Here is a 15,837-nt window from a genome sequence, read left to right on the forward strand (position 1 = left end):
CTGATAAAGAGGCTTTGGAAAAATAGATGCTTGACTGTAGTAGAGATGACAGAAAGGAGAAGAAAGAGGTAAAGAAAAGAGAGTAATAGTTTGTCTTAATACCTGGTCTCTGTTATTCTAATGGGTAACAGAAATAGCATGTTGGTTATTAAGGATGATTGGGCTTCCTGCCTTTGTACATTTGCCCTTAGCGATACTGAAATAATTTTAGTTTTCCTATGTACACACAGTCTAAGTTTATTGTTCCACATGATTTTAATGAATCTAAATTATAAATTTTAATGATATTATGTTTGCATTTTTGCTGTAGTTGAAGTTACAGGATATAACAAAATTTGTGGGGAAAAGAAAATTGCATGGTGTCAAATCCATATAATGTTTATCTAATAAAAATCCACTTGGTATTAATATATTAAAAAGTTCTTTGGTTTAGCATTTTTTTCCAAATTAGATTGATTGTAATAAATAGAACTCTCTGTAAAGTGCTCATGATCTCTAGTTTTCTTTTTATTTTACTAGTTTTTGTGAGTTTATCCTGATAATTGCAGTTTTTTAATTTGTGTAACTTTCAGGTGTGAAGCATCAAGTCCACATATTCATCCAGTTGGTTGGTGTAAGGAACATAGAAGAACCCTTATTACTCCACCAGGTGTGTGTTTTTTTAATGTGGCTAATACTATTCGTAGACTTCAAGAGTAGGCAGACTTTTTCTGTAAAGGGCCAGATAGTAAATATTTTGGCTTTGCAGACCATGCAGTTTTCTGTCACCACTACTCAAAACAGTTGTAGTGCAAAAACAGCCATAGACAATAGGTAAACCAATGTGCATGGGTGTGTTGCAGTAACAGTTTATTTACAAAAACAGGCAGCCAACCTGCAGGCGTTAGTTTGCTCACCGCTGATGTACTTTCAACTATATTAAGTATTGCCTTAGTTCATAACAGAGTCTCAAATTTTGTCTCTCTTGGAAAAAAAAAAGTTCTGTTTTAAAAGATCTTTCATTTCTCAACTTGAAATTCATTTCTAGACTTTATATTAGTATATATTTAAATATATTGTCTAACCATAGAAGCAAATTGTCTAAGGCTTGAGCAAGTCCAGAAAAATGGATAAGAGGGACAGCATTTGTGTGTGGATTGGAGACCAGACTTCATGTCAGCATCAGTCCTCACAGAAGCACAGTGTTCACGTTTAAGTGAGAAATTGAGGCTTTAGATTTTTTTACTTAGTTTAGAACTCACACGCTCACTTTTCCTTTTTCTGTCGTGATTCCTGGTTCCAAAATAGATTTTGCACCTTCATGCTAGTGGTGCCTTTGTGTTCTCTGAAGTTTTCAGGCGCTTCTGCTCTCTGCCTCTAGTCATAGAGCCTTCTCAGCTTATTTGCTGTCTCTTTAACGGGGAACAGTGTAACTGCTGATAAATAGTGTCCTTGTTTTATATCATTTTGAGTTTATTTTATGTGCTAAAGAACAGATTCTGCGGTTTCTTCATAATCAAGACAGTGTATTTGTGCGTACATCACTACTCAAGGGGCCATGACCACTCCTGGTATGAAAAGACAGGATCATCAAACTGAAAGCATCCCTGCGCAGTAGACAATTGCTTAGTGGACCCTTACAGGAGTAATGAAGATTGCCTTTATTACAGAGAGAGGATGAGTCCTGGGTTTACTAGGAGCTGTTTTCGAATGTAGCCTGCAGCATGTAAGCTGCAAGATTGGAGAGCTTCAAATTCTATTGGAACAGCTGGTTTCATTTTTACGTTTGTCTCCAGTTCCTTGATACAGTGTCTCACTTAGAGTGTCTGATCATTTACTCACTCAGGAGGACCTATCATTCCTGTAACAGGCAAGTCAAGTCCTATCCACTCCCTGAGTTTTCTCATATAATAAAGGGAGGAAAGTCTCTGTCTTGACTTATTTACAGTACTATTTTGACAGTGAAACAGCATTGATATAAATCATGAAGGGTTAAAGCAAAGTATTGGCCAGGCACCTATGGCTCACGCCTATAATCTCAGCACTTTGGGAGGCTGAGGCGGGAGGATCACTTGAGCCCAGGAGTTCAAGACCTGCCTGGGTAACATAGTGAGACCCTGTCTCTATAAAAAATTTTAAGTCAGCCAGGTGAGGTGGCATGCACCTATAGTCCCTGCTGTCTGTGAGACTGAGGCAGGAGGATTGCTTGAGCCCAGGAGTTTGAGGCTGCAGTCAGCCAGCTATGATTATGCCACTCCACCCTGGGCAACAGAGCAAGACAGTGTTTCAAGAAAAAAGAAAAAAAAAAAAAGAAAGCAAGGTATTAATGGTTTCATGGTGCCAAACATAGTGCTGCCTGGAAGATTTCTTGTATTCTACCTTCCTTTGTCTGTCCTGCGGCTTACAAAATAATAGTGGCCAGTGATTGCCATGGTTGCTTCTTTGCCACTATCACCATCTAAAATGCTGTGAGGATCCTTTTAGATTTCCCAGTTTGTTATCAGCCCTTCTTTCCGTACCACCATTTTTGGTCATGATCAGAGATCTGATTAATTAACAATGAACCAGTGAACAACAACAGGTTCCTGGTTATGTACCCTGGAAGGAGTGGTGTAAGGCGTTATTGCCGACTTCTTAACATGAGGCAAAGAACCAAGCCATCTATCTCCTTTCCTGGACGTTTATAATTCAGTCGAAGAGAAAAAAAAAATAGCTTTTTGACACATTTTAAAAATTCAAAATTGCATGTGAAAATACCAAATACACAACAATATGAATATACATAATGCCATTACAATAGTAAAAATGGTAAATTTTATGTTATGTATATTTTGCCACTATTAAAAAATGCAAAAATGAACAAACAAAACTGCCAAATTGTGAGACTGATTTATTGGGCATGTGCTGATGCTACTCTTTGCCCCATAACAAAAAAGACACCCTTTCTCTGATCTGTTTTCTCTAAGGGCAGATTCCTGGGTCATCTCTGATCTGTCTGAAAAGAAGGATTCTAATCACTGGGCTTCCTAAGCAGCTGCTTCCTTCACCCCCTTGTACTTCACAGATTTCTGCATCCACTAAGCTGCCCTCTAGGCCACCACCACGTTTCCGTTCTTTCTAAACACGCAGCCTCTCTTTATTGTTCTTTTCAGAAATTAAAATCTTCATGCCTTTTAAAACTATTTTTATTTTGAATTATCCAAATTATACATTAATGCATGCTTGTTTTTAAGTTTAGAGTGAACTGCAGTTATCTCTATTAATATTTTAATGGTTTGTCCTTATGTGTTTCCAGGAAAGCATTTTTGCCTATGCAAAGTCACACACATGCATGCGTACACCTCAGTTTGTTTCATTTAGTAGAATGTTCTAATTTAAATTGTTTAAATTGTGCAAGATGTGTTCCTTAAAAATGTCATAAAATGTATACACAGAACTATGTTTGCGTATTAACTCCATTTTTTTTTTTTTTGAGACGGATTCTTGCTCTGTTGCCCAGGCAGGAGTGCAGTGGTACAATCTTGGCTCACTGTAAATTCCGCCTCCTGAGTTCAAGTGATTCTCCTACCTAAGCCTCCTGAGTAGCTGGGACTACAGGCACGTGTTACCACACCTGGCTATTTTTTTTTTTTTGCATTTTTTAGTAGAGATGGGGTTTCACCATGTTAGCCAGGATGGTCTCAATCTCCTGACCTCGTGATCCACCTGCCTCAGCCTCCCAAAATGCTGGGATTACAGGCGTGAGCCACCGCACCCGGCTGCATATTTACTCTTTAAACATTTTATTTTGGAACAATTTTGAATGTACAGAAAGGTTGCAAGAACAGTGCAAAACTCACCTATACCCCTGACTCAGAGACCCAGTCAAGTTTGCCAGTTGTCCTAGTGATGTTATTCCTAGCAAAAGGATCTCAGTTGTCAGATCCCTCCAGCTTCTATTAATTAGGCTTTCCTTGACTTTTATGACCTTAATAAGTTTGAGGATTACAGATCTGTCATTTTGTAGATTGTTACTTAATTTGAGTAGGATTGGTATTTCCTCATGATCATACGAAGACTGTGCATTTTTGGCAGGAATATCATAGACATAGTGCTGTGTTCTCATTTCCTTCTCTCAGGTGGCTCATCATGTCAGTCTGTCTCTTTACTGGTTCGCTTTTACCACTGATGGATCAAGATGGTGTTTGCTAGGTTTGTCTACTAATGGAGTTATTTTTTCTCTGTAACTAATAAGTATTTTCTGGAGAGATACATTTTCTGGAGAGATACTTTGAGACTGTGTATCTTGTCCCAATGTCATTTGCTAGTTTTAGCATCTGTTGACATTCCTGGCATGAATTATATTATTCTGACAGTGCTAAACTATAATTTTTCTTATTCCATCATTCCTTATACAAAATTAGTTGATATTTTCCTGCAAAGAATAGCTTTTCTTATCTTCCTATTTATTTGTTCAATTTATCTGTATCAGTGTAGACCCATAGATTACTATTTTTATCAGTGAGTTATAATTGATTGCTAGCATTATATATCTTCATATTCAGATTTTCTCAGATAGTAACCAGTTATAGCCCCTTTAGGCACATTTCAGTGTCCTTTTGAAATGTTCTTATCATTTTTTGAGAACTTCTTATTTTCTGGCACAGCTAGGCTTATCTCATACTTTCCCTGACCCCATCTAGAGTCACCCATTTCTTCAAGGTTCCGTGCCTCTTTTTAGTAGAGAATGATATTTAGAAACTAAGATCTGAACACTAAGTGTGCTTATTTACTACAAGAGTGTTGATGTTTCCAGGCCTTTAAGCTGATATAGCTAGGAAATACATGTGTATAAATATATGCAAAAATGTATATGTCTATTTCTGTGTCTGTTTATATATTGAAAACTGTGAATTTATGCCATTAGTTCCAATTCAAATCCAACACATCAGCTTCATTCTGGTTTCCCTCAAACCTGGCTAACATTATCTCTGATATATTTGCTGCTTTTCTCAGTCCCCTTTATGTGGCTAATTTCCCACCATACTGGGCCACTGTTTATTCCTGCTCATGCCTACCTAATGGATTTGGGGCCCTGGAGGGAACAAAAGAGGGCAGGAGGAAGGAGAAGATATTTTTACACATTCTATTAATAATGTTACATCATTTGTGTGTGTTTGTTGGAACAATATGAAGTTATATCTGGAATTGTTCACATATTAATATATATAAATCTACCATGTTCTTTTTAATAAGTACTTTCTGCTTATGTACATTTTTTTGCACATTTGTATATTGAAGGTCATTTAACTTACTTAATTTTCACATTTACAAACAATTGTGTGTTGCCTTTATTGCATATGTCAGATTTTTCTAGATTCTCCAATACAAAATTGCTAAAGGGTATTTGTGTGTCTGTCTTGTAAGACTGTCTTTATCTGAAAATATAAATTATATATATCTATAAAATTTTCATTTTAAAAGTAATAGAAAAATAATGATCAAGATGAAAACAATTTCATTATTACTAATAGCTCTGAATGTGTGAGTAAAGTTGTCATGTATATATGAACATAATTTTCTAGATTATAATATTTTATAATTTTTGTTGGACAGTTTGTTATTCTTGCTATCATTTTGGTTAAACCTCATAGGATTTACATTTTTCTTTCTTAGGTTATCCAAATGTGAAACATTTTTCTTGGGATAAATACTTAGAAGAAACCAATTCTTTACCTGCTCCTGCAAGAGCTTTCAAAGTGGTAAGATGATACATTTTATTAATTTGCGTGGATGAGATCATTTATTTATTGAAATTGAAGAACAGAACAAGATGGTATTAGTAAACCAGAATAGGAATGAGAAAAAAATAGAGCACCAAATAAGATGTTTTTGAATTTTTACAATTTTTAAAGTCAAAATTGTTACTGGAATTTTTGTTGTTGTCATCCAAAAAAATGCTTTGATTTTGGACTTTAAAGTCTCCTTGGAAAATAATTCTGCTTGATTCGATAGCATGTGGGGCCAGTTGTTGAAATCTTAAAGCAATCTTCTGTCTTTTTAGCTAGATGTTCTAAAAGACCAGAACAGAATATGAAAATATTTTTCAATAAAAACTGATGGATAATTGATTTGGATTTGTTTATGGCAAGCTGAGATGCTGGGTTTTTTAATTTTATTGCTGTAAATCAGCATGTTTAATTACCAAAATACAAGATCATCTGCTTTTATTACAGTATCTTTCTAACCCAGGGTCATTGCTTCTTGCATATAAAGTATTAAGATTCAAATGAACCTCATTTCTATGCAAGGAAGGAATAAGAAGTGAAATATATTTCTCATTTTTTCATCTCAAATAGCTTGCTTTATGATTTAGATTTCTCATGAATTTAACAGAAAAGAAAAATATATCAAATATTTATTTTTTTAAATGTGTCATGATGAGCTTATGATAAATAATTTTCTTTAAGACATCCTTTTATGTATAAATTGCTAGGATTTTTAATGTTAGAATTAATTATGAGGTATAGGTCCAAATTTGCTCTTAAAAAAATTTTAAGAGCAAAACCATAAGGCACGAAGAGAAACTATATCAAAAAATGTGTGTGATTTCATCTGATAGTAAGTTGAAGATTTAAAAAAGAAAACTGTTTAGAGTTATGCCATATTTGTGAATTTTTATCTCCCACCCTTTAACTTTAAATTCTTGTCTGATGCGAAGCAGAGCTGCATTACACTTCACTTTAAACGAATAAAATTACATACAGATCAGCCTACATGTCTACTGTCACAACAGAGAGAAAACAGATTTCTCTAGTTTGGTCTTTTAGGTGTCTTGCATTGACTGCTCTGTGTTATTTATATAACATACTTAATTTTCATGGCAACCCTTTTTTTGTTGTTTGAGTCAGGGTCTTGCTTTGTTGCCCAGGCTGGAGTGCAGTGCCATGATCTCGTCTCACTACAATCTCCACCTCACAGGCTTAAGTGATCCTCCCACCTCAGCTTCCTGAGTAGTTGGGACTATAGGCACATGCCACCATGCTGGGCTAATTTTTGTATTTTTTGTAGAGAAGAGGTTTTGCTCTGTTGCCTGGGCTGGTCTCAAACTCCTGAGCTCAAGCAATCCACCCACCTCGGCCTCCCAAAGTGCTGGATTACAGGCATGAGCCACCGCGTCCTGCCCAGCAACACTTTTCTTATACCCATTTTACAGAAGAGGGACCTGAAGCTCAGAAAATTAACTAATTTGCCTAACATTATGCCAAACAATCACCTTATCTTCCACTGTCTGTGAGTTTTTCAGAGGCTTATAAGTTTCTGCTGAGTACTGAGGCGTAGGTAGCTGTTGATTCCCCCAACCCATTCCTGGTTCTATCTTTTATGTTTGATTGCTAATTTTCTGTTTTAAAGATATCTTCTGCTTTTTGCCTCCATTACCACTTCTAATTTTGGTGTCTCATCTCAGCCACTTTAATATTGTTCCTCTCTCTATTTAAAAATAAATTTTATGCTTGTTGATTTTTGCCAGTACACCTCCAAATAATAAGAAAATTTTCTTGTCTTCCATCTGAGTAATCAAATAACTACAGTATTTTGAATTTTACTCTGCTATTTCCCTTGCTCGTGCATCTGTGTTGGAATTTTTTGACAGACAGGGTGAAGTTCAGAGCTACTCTGGAAAGTTGAGAATTTGAAAGCCTGGTTCTCTTATTTTCTTTCTTTATTTAAAAAATGACAGCAAGTTCTAACCATTTAAAATTTTTCTGTCTTCTTTTATGACATCATTCTCTAAATAGCCCAGCTATTTCTTTTTTTAATTTTTATTTTTTTGAGACAGTCTCCCTCTGTTGCCCAGGCTGGAGTGCAGTGGCACAATCTCACCTCACTACTCCACCTCCTGGGCTAAAGCAATTCTTGTGCCTCAGCCTCCCGAGTAGCTGGGATTACAGGTGCATGCCACCATGCCTGGCTACTGTTTGTATTTTTAATAGAGACAGGGTTCAGCCATGTTGGCCAGGCTGGTCTCAAACTCCTGGCCTCAAGTGATCCGCCCGCCTCAGCCTTCCAAAGTGCTGGGATTACAGGTGTGAGCCACCGCGCCTGGCCAGCTTTTTCTTCTTCTTCTTCTTTGTAACATCAAGTTTACCTTCTCTTCCTCTTTATCTCACTCTGTAAAATTTTTTTTTGTGGCAGAAACCTCCTCATGGATTCCAGAAAAAAATGAAGCTTGAGGTTGTAGACAAAAGGAACCCTATGTTTATTAGAGTAGCAACTGTGGCAGACACAGATGATCACCGGGTAAAAGTAAGTGTTCTGTGTGGGGGGTTGGCTTTGTCTTTTGTTATAAGATGTTTTAGATAAAAACTTTGGTAGATACTTAACTTGTGAAGTCCTGTAATTAGTAAAATCATAGGAATAAGCAAAATAATTGGCTGTGCATCTTTGTAAATCAGCATTCTTCCAGGTTTGTCCTTTAATCTGCATAAAACAATTTATCTTTAGTTATGAATGACTTAATATTTTGAGTATGTATTTGGAGAAAGAAAGTAGATACAACACATTAAAGTAGTATTATATTCAGAAGAAAAGATACTTCATTCTCTGATAGTATGCCCTTTTTTAAAAAAATTGAAGATTAATGTTTTTGTGGGGTAGATTAGAAGTAGTCTTTTCAGAGGAACATCCTATCTCAATATAGGCCAAGTAAAGATAAATAATTTCATGAATAAAATCAGATTTTAATTAGAGTAATAAAAGTCAAATGCCTCTTAAAAAGTAAGCAAATGTTTAGGGAGATGGGATCAGCTTGTTATGTCCAGCCATGATAAAGTGAAGTGGAGTTCAGGAAAGGAGCCAGAAGAGCTCGTCTCTGTTTCTTACTTCAGCATTAACTTCACCCTCAGACCAAAACAATGCCTGTTCTACTTAACTTCATAAAATTGTTTGGAATTTCTATTAGGAATAAGAATAGTTATAACAGCAAGACATTAAATGTACATGATGTTTTACAGGGTAACCCTGTTCTCATATTATTTAACATTTGTGGGAAGTATACATTGTTATCACTTTTACTGATGAGGCAGAGAGGCTCATAAAGATTAAATGAATTATTAATTACTGGCAGTGGCAGAATGACTTCTTAGTTCTAAGCTGTAGGAGTCTTAAGTTTATGCCCTTTTTAAAAAAATTACATTCTCAACTATCTCTAATAAGATAGTGTATAATAAAATAAATTATAAAATAACATGAAAAACCACAAATGTGGTATTTCTATAGAATAGAAATTTTAACATTTAGTTCACTGTTAAGATTATAGAATCATGTAGCATTTTAGAAAATTTTATAAATGCAAGACCTGTGCTAACCATATTTTCAAGTGCATTTTCTTATTATATTTGGTAGTAATGTAAGTCATAAAGCAATCAGTATTTTAGAACTAGAAGTATTTTTTAAAATAAAATCTAGACAAGTAATCAAATACATTTACAATTAAGTACAATATTACTTTTATAAATCAGATTGCTCAGAATTGAAAAAAAATATTGGTTCGACTGCATGAAAATTTAATTATCACATATGGCTGGTGGGAATGTAAAATGTCTCAGCCTTTCCAAAGAGCAGTTTGGCAATAGGTTAACAAAATCGTAGAATGTTGTTTATCCTTTCATTTAAGAATGTTAAGGGAATAGCCAAAAGGAATATGCAAAAATAAAAACTCCAAGGAAAATATATCAGTGCTGTTTATAGTACTTAACATTGGAAGCAACCACAGTAGCTGATGGGTAAAATGCATTACTCTTTATCTACATGATGTTAAAATTAAATATTTTAGAAGACTATTTAATACCAACAATTGAAAAATTCAGGTTTACATTATGTTATGATATCTGCTGTTGTTTTTTTTTTTACAAGCATACATATATAAGCAATTCTGGAAAGAATCATACCAAAGTAATGACAGTGCTTCTTTCAGGGTGCTGAAAGTATAAATGGTTAGGTTTTTTACTTGTTTAGTTTCTGGAATATATATTACTTTTATAATTAAAAATGTAGATCAACTCTCTTATTTTACATATGAGAAATTTTTGGCCCAGAGAGGTCAAGTATGCTCAAGTGGGTGGTTCAGTTAGTTAACAGGAAAAGTGTAGACTAGAATCCACCTCTTACTTCTAGCTGGATTCTCTAATACAACATCCTGGTCAGTCCATAACACCCCAGAAATACTGGCTGTGAGGGGTACAGTTGACAATTATCTTTTGGTAATTACTGGAATTAATTTCATAGCTGAAGATGAACCATGGAACAAATATCTGAGTATTTATGAGGTCTTTAAAAGGCTTGTATACAGGGGTCAGTGACTAAGTTTCAGAATTCATCAGAAGCTTCTGAGAATATAAAAAGCCTGCAACAGTAGGAGTTTATCTAATAAGTGGGAGATTAGACAGCAGGAAAACTCATCTTTCTTTTTTAAGAAGGAAGAAGAGGAGGAAAATGTAGACCAAGTTATTAGTGTAGCTTAATATTTTAAGTTTTTCAGGGATAAAATCAACTCAAGTAAAATCATCTTTTAAGATTACATATTTCACACCTTGAGCTATTATAGTAAAACATTTTAAATTGTTCTATATTTGATCAGATGACATTGAAGAAAAATGGCCTAGAATGGTTTTGCTCTCATTTATGTTTTTAGTAATAGAAGATTATTCCTGCCTCATTCCTTCCCACTCCCCAGCCTGGCTCCCCAGAGGCAAAAACTGTCAGCTCTTTTAGCTCTTGCTTAGGACCTTTTTATCTGTAATTTTCTAAAATATTACCTATATTCTACTCTTTCTCAGTTCATCAATTTTAAATATGGTTTATTTTCTTCATGTTGTGGTAATTCAAGATTTAGATCTTGCCCTTCTTCCCTTCCCCTTATCTTTTCAGTAGTTATTTTACATTGTTTTGTTCTCATTCACTGTTGAGCAAAGTAGTCTTCTCCTTGTGACTATTTTTTTGGGAGTCAGTAATTTGTTCATAGTTTAGTTTTTTTGTCTTCTTAGATTTTTACAAGTGCAACAGTGGATCTGACATGCCTTTGAGTCAAAAGCTCAAGTATATTTTTCAGTACTCTATCTTTTTATTATTATTATTATTATACTTTAAGTTCTAGGATATATGTGTACAACGTGCAGGTTTGTCACATATGTATACATGTGCCGTGTTGGTTTACTGCAGCCATTAACTCGTCATTTACATTAGGTATTTCTCCTAATGCTATCCCTCCCCCTGCCCCCCACCCCATGACAGGCCCCAGTGTGTGATGTTCCCCGCCCTGTGTCCAAGTTTTCTCATTGTTCAGTTCCCGCCTATGAGTTAGAACATGCAGTGTTTGATTTTCTGTCTTCGTGATAGTTTGCTGAGAATGATGGTTTCCAGCTTCATCCATGTCCCTGCAGAAGACATGAACTCATCCTTTTTTATGGCTGCATAGTATTCCATGGTGTATATGTGCCACATTTTCTTAATCCAGTCTATCATTGATGGACATTTGGGTTGGTTCCAGGTCTTTGCTATTGTGAATAGTGCCGCAATAAACATACATGTGCATGTGTCTTTATAGTAGCATAATTTATAATCCTTTGGGTATATATCCAGTAATGAGATCACTGGGTCAAATGGTATTTCTAGTTCTAGATCCTTGAGGAATCGCCACACTGTCTTCCACAATGGTTGAACTAGTTTACACTCCCACCAAAAGTGTAAAGTGTTCCTGTTTCTCCACATCCTCTCCAGCATCTGTTGTTTCCTGACTTTTTAATAATTGCCATTCTAGCTGGCATGAGATGGTATCTCATTGTGGTTTTGATACACATTTCTCTGATGACCAGTGATGATGAGTATTTTTCACAGCAAAAAAAAAAAACTACCATCAGAGTGAATAGGCAACCTACAGAATGGGAGAAAAATTTTACATCAACACTCTATCTTTTTCTTTTTTTCTCGAACTCTTTCTCATACTCAGCAGCCACCTATTCCACTGTGGGTGGAAATACTCTAAGCCTGGTACAAAGCTTTCATCCTGACACTTCTCTTTGCTGACAGACTAGATTGTATTTCATTTTCCTGGATCACATACTTTGCTTTTCTTGGGGTATTCTCTTATCTTGCTGACACACGTCTTTTCATATTTTCTATGGGGTTTTGATTCTAAGATTAATTTATTTCTAAGCTTAAGAAAGACTCATTGCAAAGAACATTATTTTAAGCACATATATATATATATACTTTTACTAACTGCATTCTATTTCATTATATGAATATACCATAATTTATTAACCAGTCTCCTGATGATGGGCACTGTGGTAACTTCTAGTTGTTTTCTAATACAAACAATGAGTTATTGAGATTATCAAGTCAAAATTAATGTCGTTTAAGTGCTCGACTGTTATTACCAAATAGCTTTCCAGGAATATCTCAGTAGTTAACACTCTTGTCAGTGGTCTATGAGAACACCCATTTATTCTCATTCTTAACCAGCTGTAGGAATTACCAAAATGTGAACATTTTTAACAGGCCAATAGGAGAAGAATTGTATCTTGTGATTTTAATTTGTAGTTTTTAAATTATAAGTGAAAGCAATTGTCTTTTTTCTTCTTCTTCTTTTTTCTTTTCTTTTTCTTTTTTTGAGACAAGGTCTCACTCTGTCGCCTAGGCTGGAGTGCAGTGATATGGTCTTGGCTCACTGTAGCCTCAACCTCCCAGGCTCAGGTGATCCTCCCACCTCAGCATAACTGAGTAGCTGGGACTACACTTAGCTTTTATTTTTATTTTATTTTTTTTGTAGAGATGGGGTTTGCCATGTTGTCCAGGCTGATCTTGAACTCCTGGGATCTAGTGATCCTCCCTCCTTGGCCTCCCAAAGTGCTGGGATTACAGGCATGAACCACTGAGCCTGGCCTCAAATTTATTGTCTTTTCATATATTTACTAAACATTTATATTTATGTTTTGGATAATGAGCTATTTGCCTCCATTTTTCATCTTTCTGTAGGGTTTCATCTTTTTGTGCTGATACATCATATTTTTATAAATTGAGGAAGAGAGTTCTTGACACAGGTGTTGCAAATGTATTTTGGGGGGTTTCTTGTAGGTCTTTCATTTTATTTTATAATACTTGCCATTCTGAAGCTTTAAATTTTCATGTAATCAAATTGATCAGTCTTTTACTGCTTTTGAGTTTGGTGTTTTGCTTACAAAGGCTGATCCACTCTGTGATTACAAATAAGTTCATTCACACATTCTTCTCGAATGTTTATTGTTCAATTTTTAGTGTTTGACTTTTTTATCCCTCTGGCATCTGTTGTCTTGTAAGGAATGAGAGGTTCATAGACTTCTAAAAAGAAATCTAACTGGCAGACTTGTTTTTTTAATATCCTGTGATCAGTTGATATAACTGGCAAAGTTGATTTAAAAATAAAATATCTAAAGCATTTCAGTATATCCCTTCATCCTAAAAGGTAAAAAATATATAATAACCTAAAAAAAACATGGTCGATTCCTAGTGACCATCACTAGAAGACCAACTGCCCTTTCACACAATGGCCATAGAGATGGTAGCAGTGACTGCTTTATAATAAGACATATCTTTTCACACTAGCTAAGATATGGAAGGAACCTAAGTACCCACCAGTTGGAGGAATGGATAAAGAGAAGTGGTATATATACACAACGGGATATTATTCAGCCATAAAAAAAGAATTAAATACTGTCATTTGCAACATCATGGATGAACCTGGAGGACATTATGTTAAATGAAATAAGCCAGGCACAGAAAGACAAATATTGCTTGTTCTCACTCATATGTGGGAGCTAAAAAAAATTGAACTCATGAGGACAAGAGGGTACAATAAGGGTTGCCAGAGCCTGAGAAGCATAGCAGGGAGTAGGGCATAAAGTGGGGGTGATTAACAGGCGCAAAAATAGAGTTAGATAGAATCAGTAAGATCTAGTATCTGGTAGCACATTAGGGTGACTACAGTTAACAATAATTTATATATTTTTAAATAACTAGTAGAATTGGAATATTCATAAAACAAAGAAATGACGAAAGCTGGAGGTGATGGATACCCCAGTTACCCTGATTTGATCATTATACATTATATGCCTATATCAAAATGTCACATGTACTTCAGAAATGTATACCCATAATAATTAAAAATAAAACAATAATAGAACACATATTTGAGAAATACTGTAGTTATTTGCAAGGAAAAAATGATATCTAAAAACACACTGGGTGGAGGGATATTTCGTAAATTGAATGTGTGTCTAGCAGGCTTTTTTTTAAATCATTTTCAACACAATTGCAGAAGGCTTGACATTACTTGAAAGGTCCTCCTTTCCTCTCCTTCCTCTCTACCCTCCCCTCTCATCTTCCCTCCCTCCCTTCCCTGAATTTTTAACTCCTTCTGCATATTTATTGGGTGCTTGATGTTGATCATATGAAGATGTTATAACAGTTCCTGTTCTCATGTTGCTCATGGTGTTGAGAAATACACATAATATGTCTGTAGAACTGTTGGCCAAAAAGTGCTTTTGGCAGGGCCTTTATGTCTGGTTATATAATACATTGAAGGTGGTTCAAAGATGTCTTTTTTTTCACATTATGAGTGAAGTATTTTGAATAATTGAACTGATTTATTGGGTTTTAAATCTACTGTATGTGTTAGAATGAAAATGGTTATGCTGTGGGCAGAACTTTGACTGTAGGAACTTTTATGACTTAATTTGTACTGTTAATGTCCTTGTGTCATCCAGGTTCACTTTGATGGCTGGAACAATTGCTATGATTACTGGATAGATGCAGATTCTCCTGATATTCACCCTGTAGGCTGGTGTTCAAAAACAGGACATCCCCTTCAGCCTCCTTTGAGTAAGAGACACGAATAGCTTGTATAAATGTTTCCATTTCCATATGTAGCATTCTTAAGATTTCATCCTTAGCCCTTTCTTTTTCTCCTCCTCTCTCTACTGATGTTTCTTCTCTATGTAATCCCTTCCTTTTACTACATTTTAATTACCACGGTCACAGAAATATAAATGGAAAAAAAACTTAATGCCTGAAAAAGTAAAGCGTGTATAGACATTCTGTTTTATTTAGAAATAAATATCACCTTTTACAATTAGTGTTGAATTTTTGGAAGACAATTTGTGAGACTTTCAAAATTTATTGTTTCAATATTAGTATTCTGATAGTAATTTTATATGATAGCTTTGCAAAACGTTAACATTGGGAGAAACTGGGCAAAGTGTGAAGGAGAGCTCCTTATGTATTATTATTTACAACTGCTTGTGAATCTATAATTATCTTAATAAAAATCTCAGTTAAATTCAAATTTTAGAAAAGGTACGTGGAGAACTTAACATACCACGGCCTTAATTTTGGAGTAAAATGTATACATTATACAAAACAAATGTAGGAAATACAATAAATTATTATCAAGTTTTTAAAAAATTTAGTGTACTTCTGTATCCAGTGACTTCACTTCTGGATGCTACATACAAACTGCATAAGGGCACATGTACATGGCATTCAGTGTAGCCTATTTAGAATAACAAAGCTTGGGGAAAAATATTGGTTAAATAAATTTTGGTGCACTATGCTGTAGAAACTATGCAGTAGTCACAAAGAATATTAGTATTGCAACAGAAAAATTTGTAAGACAAGAAGTTAAAAACCAAAGAAGGATATTGGGCCTTTATGTGGCAAAATAAAACATCTGTGTTGTGCCTTTTATGTGGCAAAATCAAACAAAACCGAATGTGCCTGAATGCTTAGAACAATTTCCAGGAGAGCCCACACTAACATCAGTGGTCAGAATGAGGGAGGGTCTGC

The 15,837-nt window shown here is 35.1% G+C and overlaps 1 protein-coding gene across 22 annotated transcripts in view; it reads left to right on the forward strand.

The window, feature by feature from the left end:
* L3MBTL3 (L3MBTL histone methyl-lysine binding protein 3) overlaps positions 1 to 15,837 on the forward strand; it is a 122,858-nt gene that overhangs the window by 59,405 nt on the left and 47,616 nt on the right. For all 22 annotated transcript variants that reach the window (XM_047419407.1, XM_011536184.3, XM_047419410.1 and 19 more), the window contains 4 exons: positions 573 to 649; positions 5,635 to 5,720; positions 8,155 to 8,265; positions 14,760 to 14,874. In XM_047419407.1, the coding sequence (XP_047275363.1) occupies positions 573 to 649; positions 5,635 to 5,720; positions 8,155 to 8,265; positions 14,760 to 14,874 (389 nt within the window). The remainder of the gene's footprint in view (positions 1 to 572; positions 650 to 5,634; positions 5,721 to 8,154; positions 8,266 to 14,759; positions 14,875 to 15,837) is intronic.

The sequence above is a fragment of the Homo sapiens genome, chromosome 6 (genome assembly GCF_000001405.40).
Source record: "Homo sapiens chromosome 6, GRCh38.p14 Primary Assembly".
Classification (NCBI taxonomy): Eukaryota; Metazoa; Chordata; class Mammalia; order Primates; family Hominidae; genus Homo; species Homo sapiens.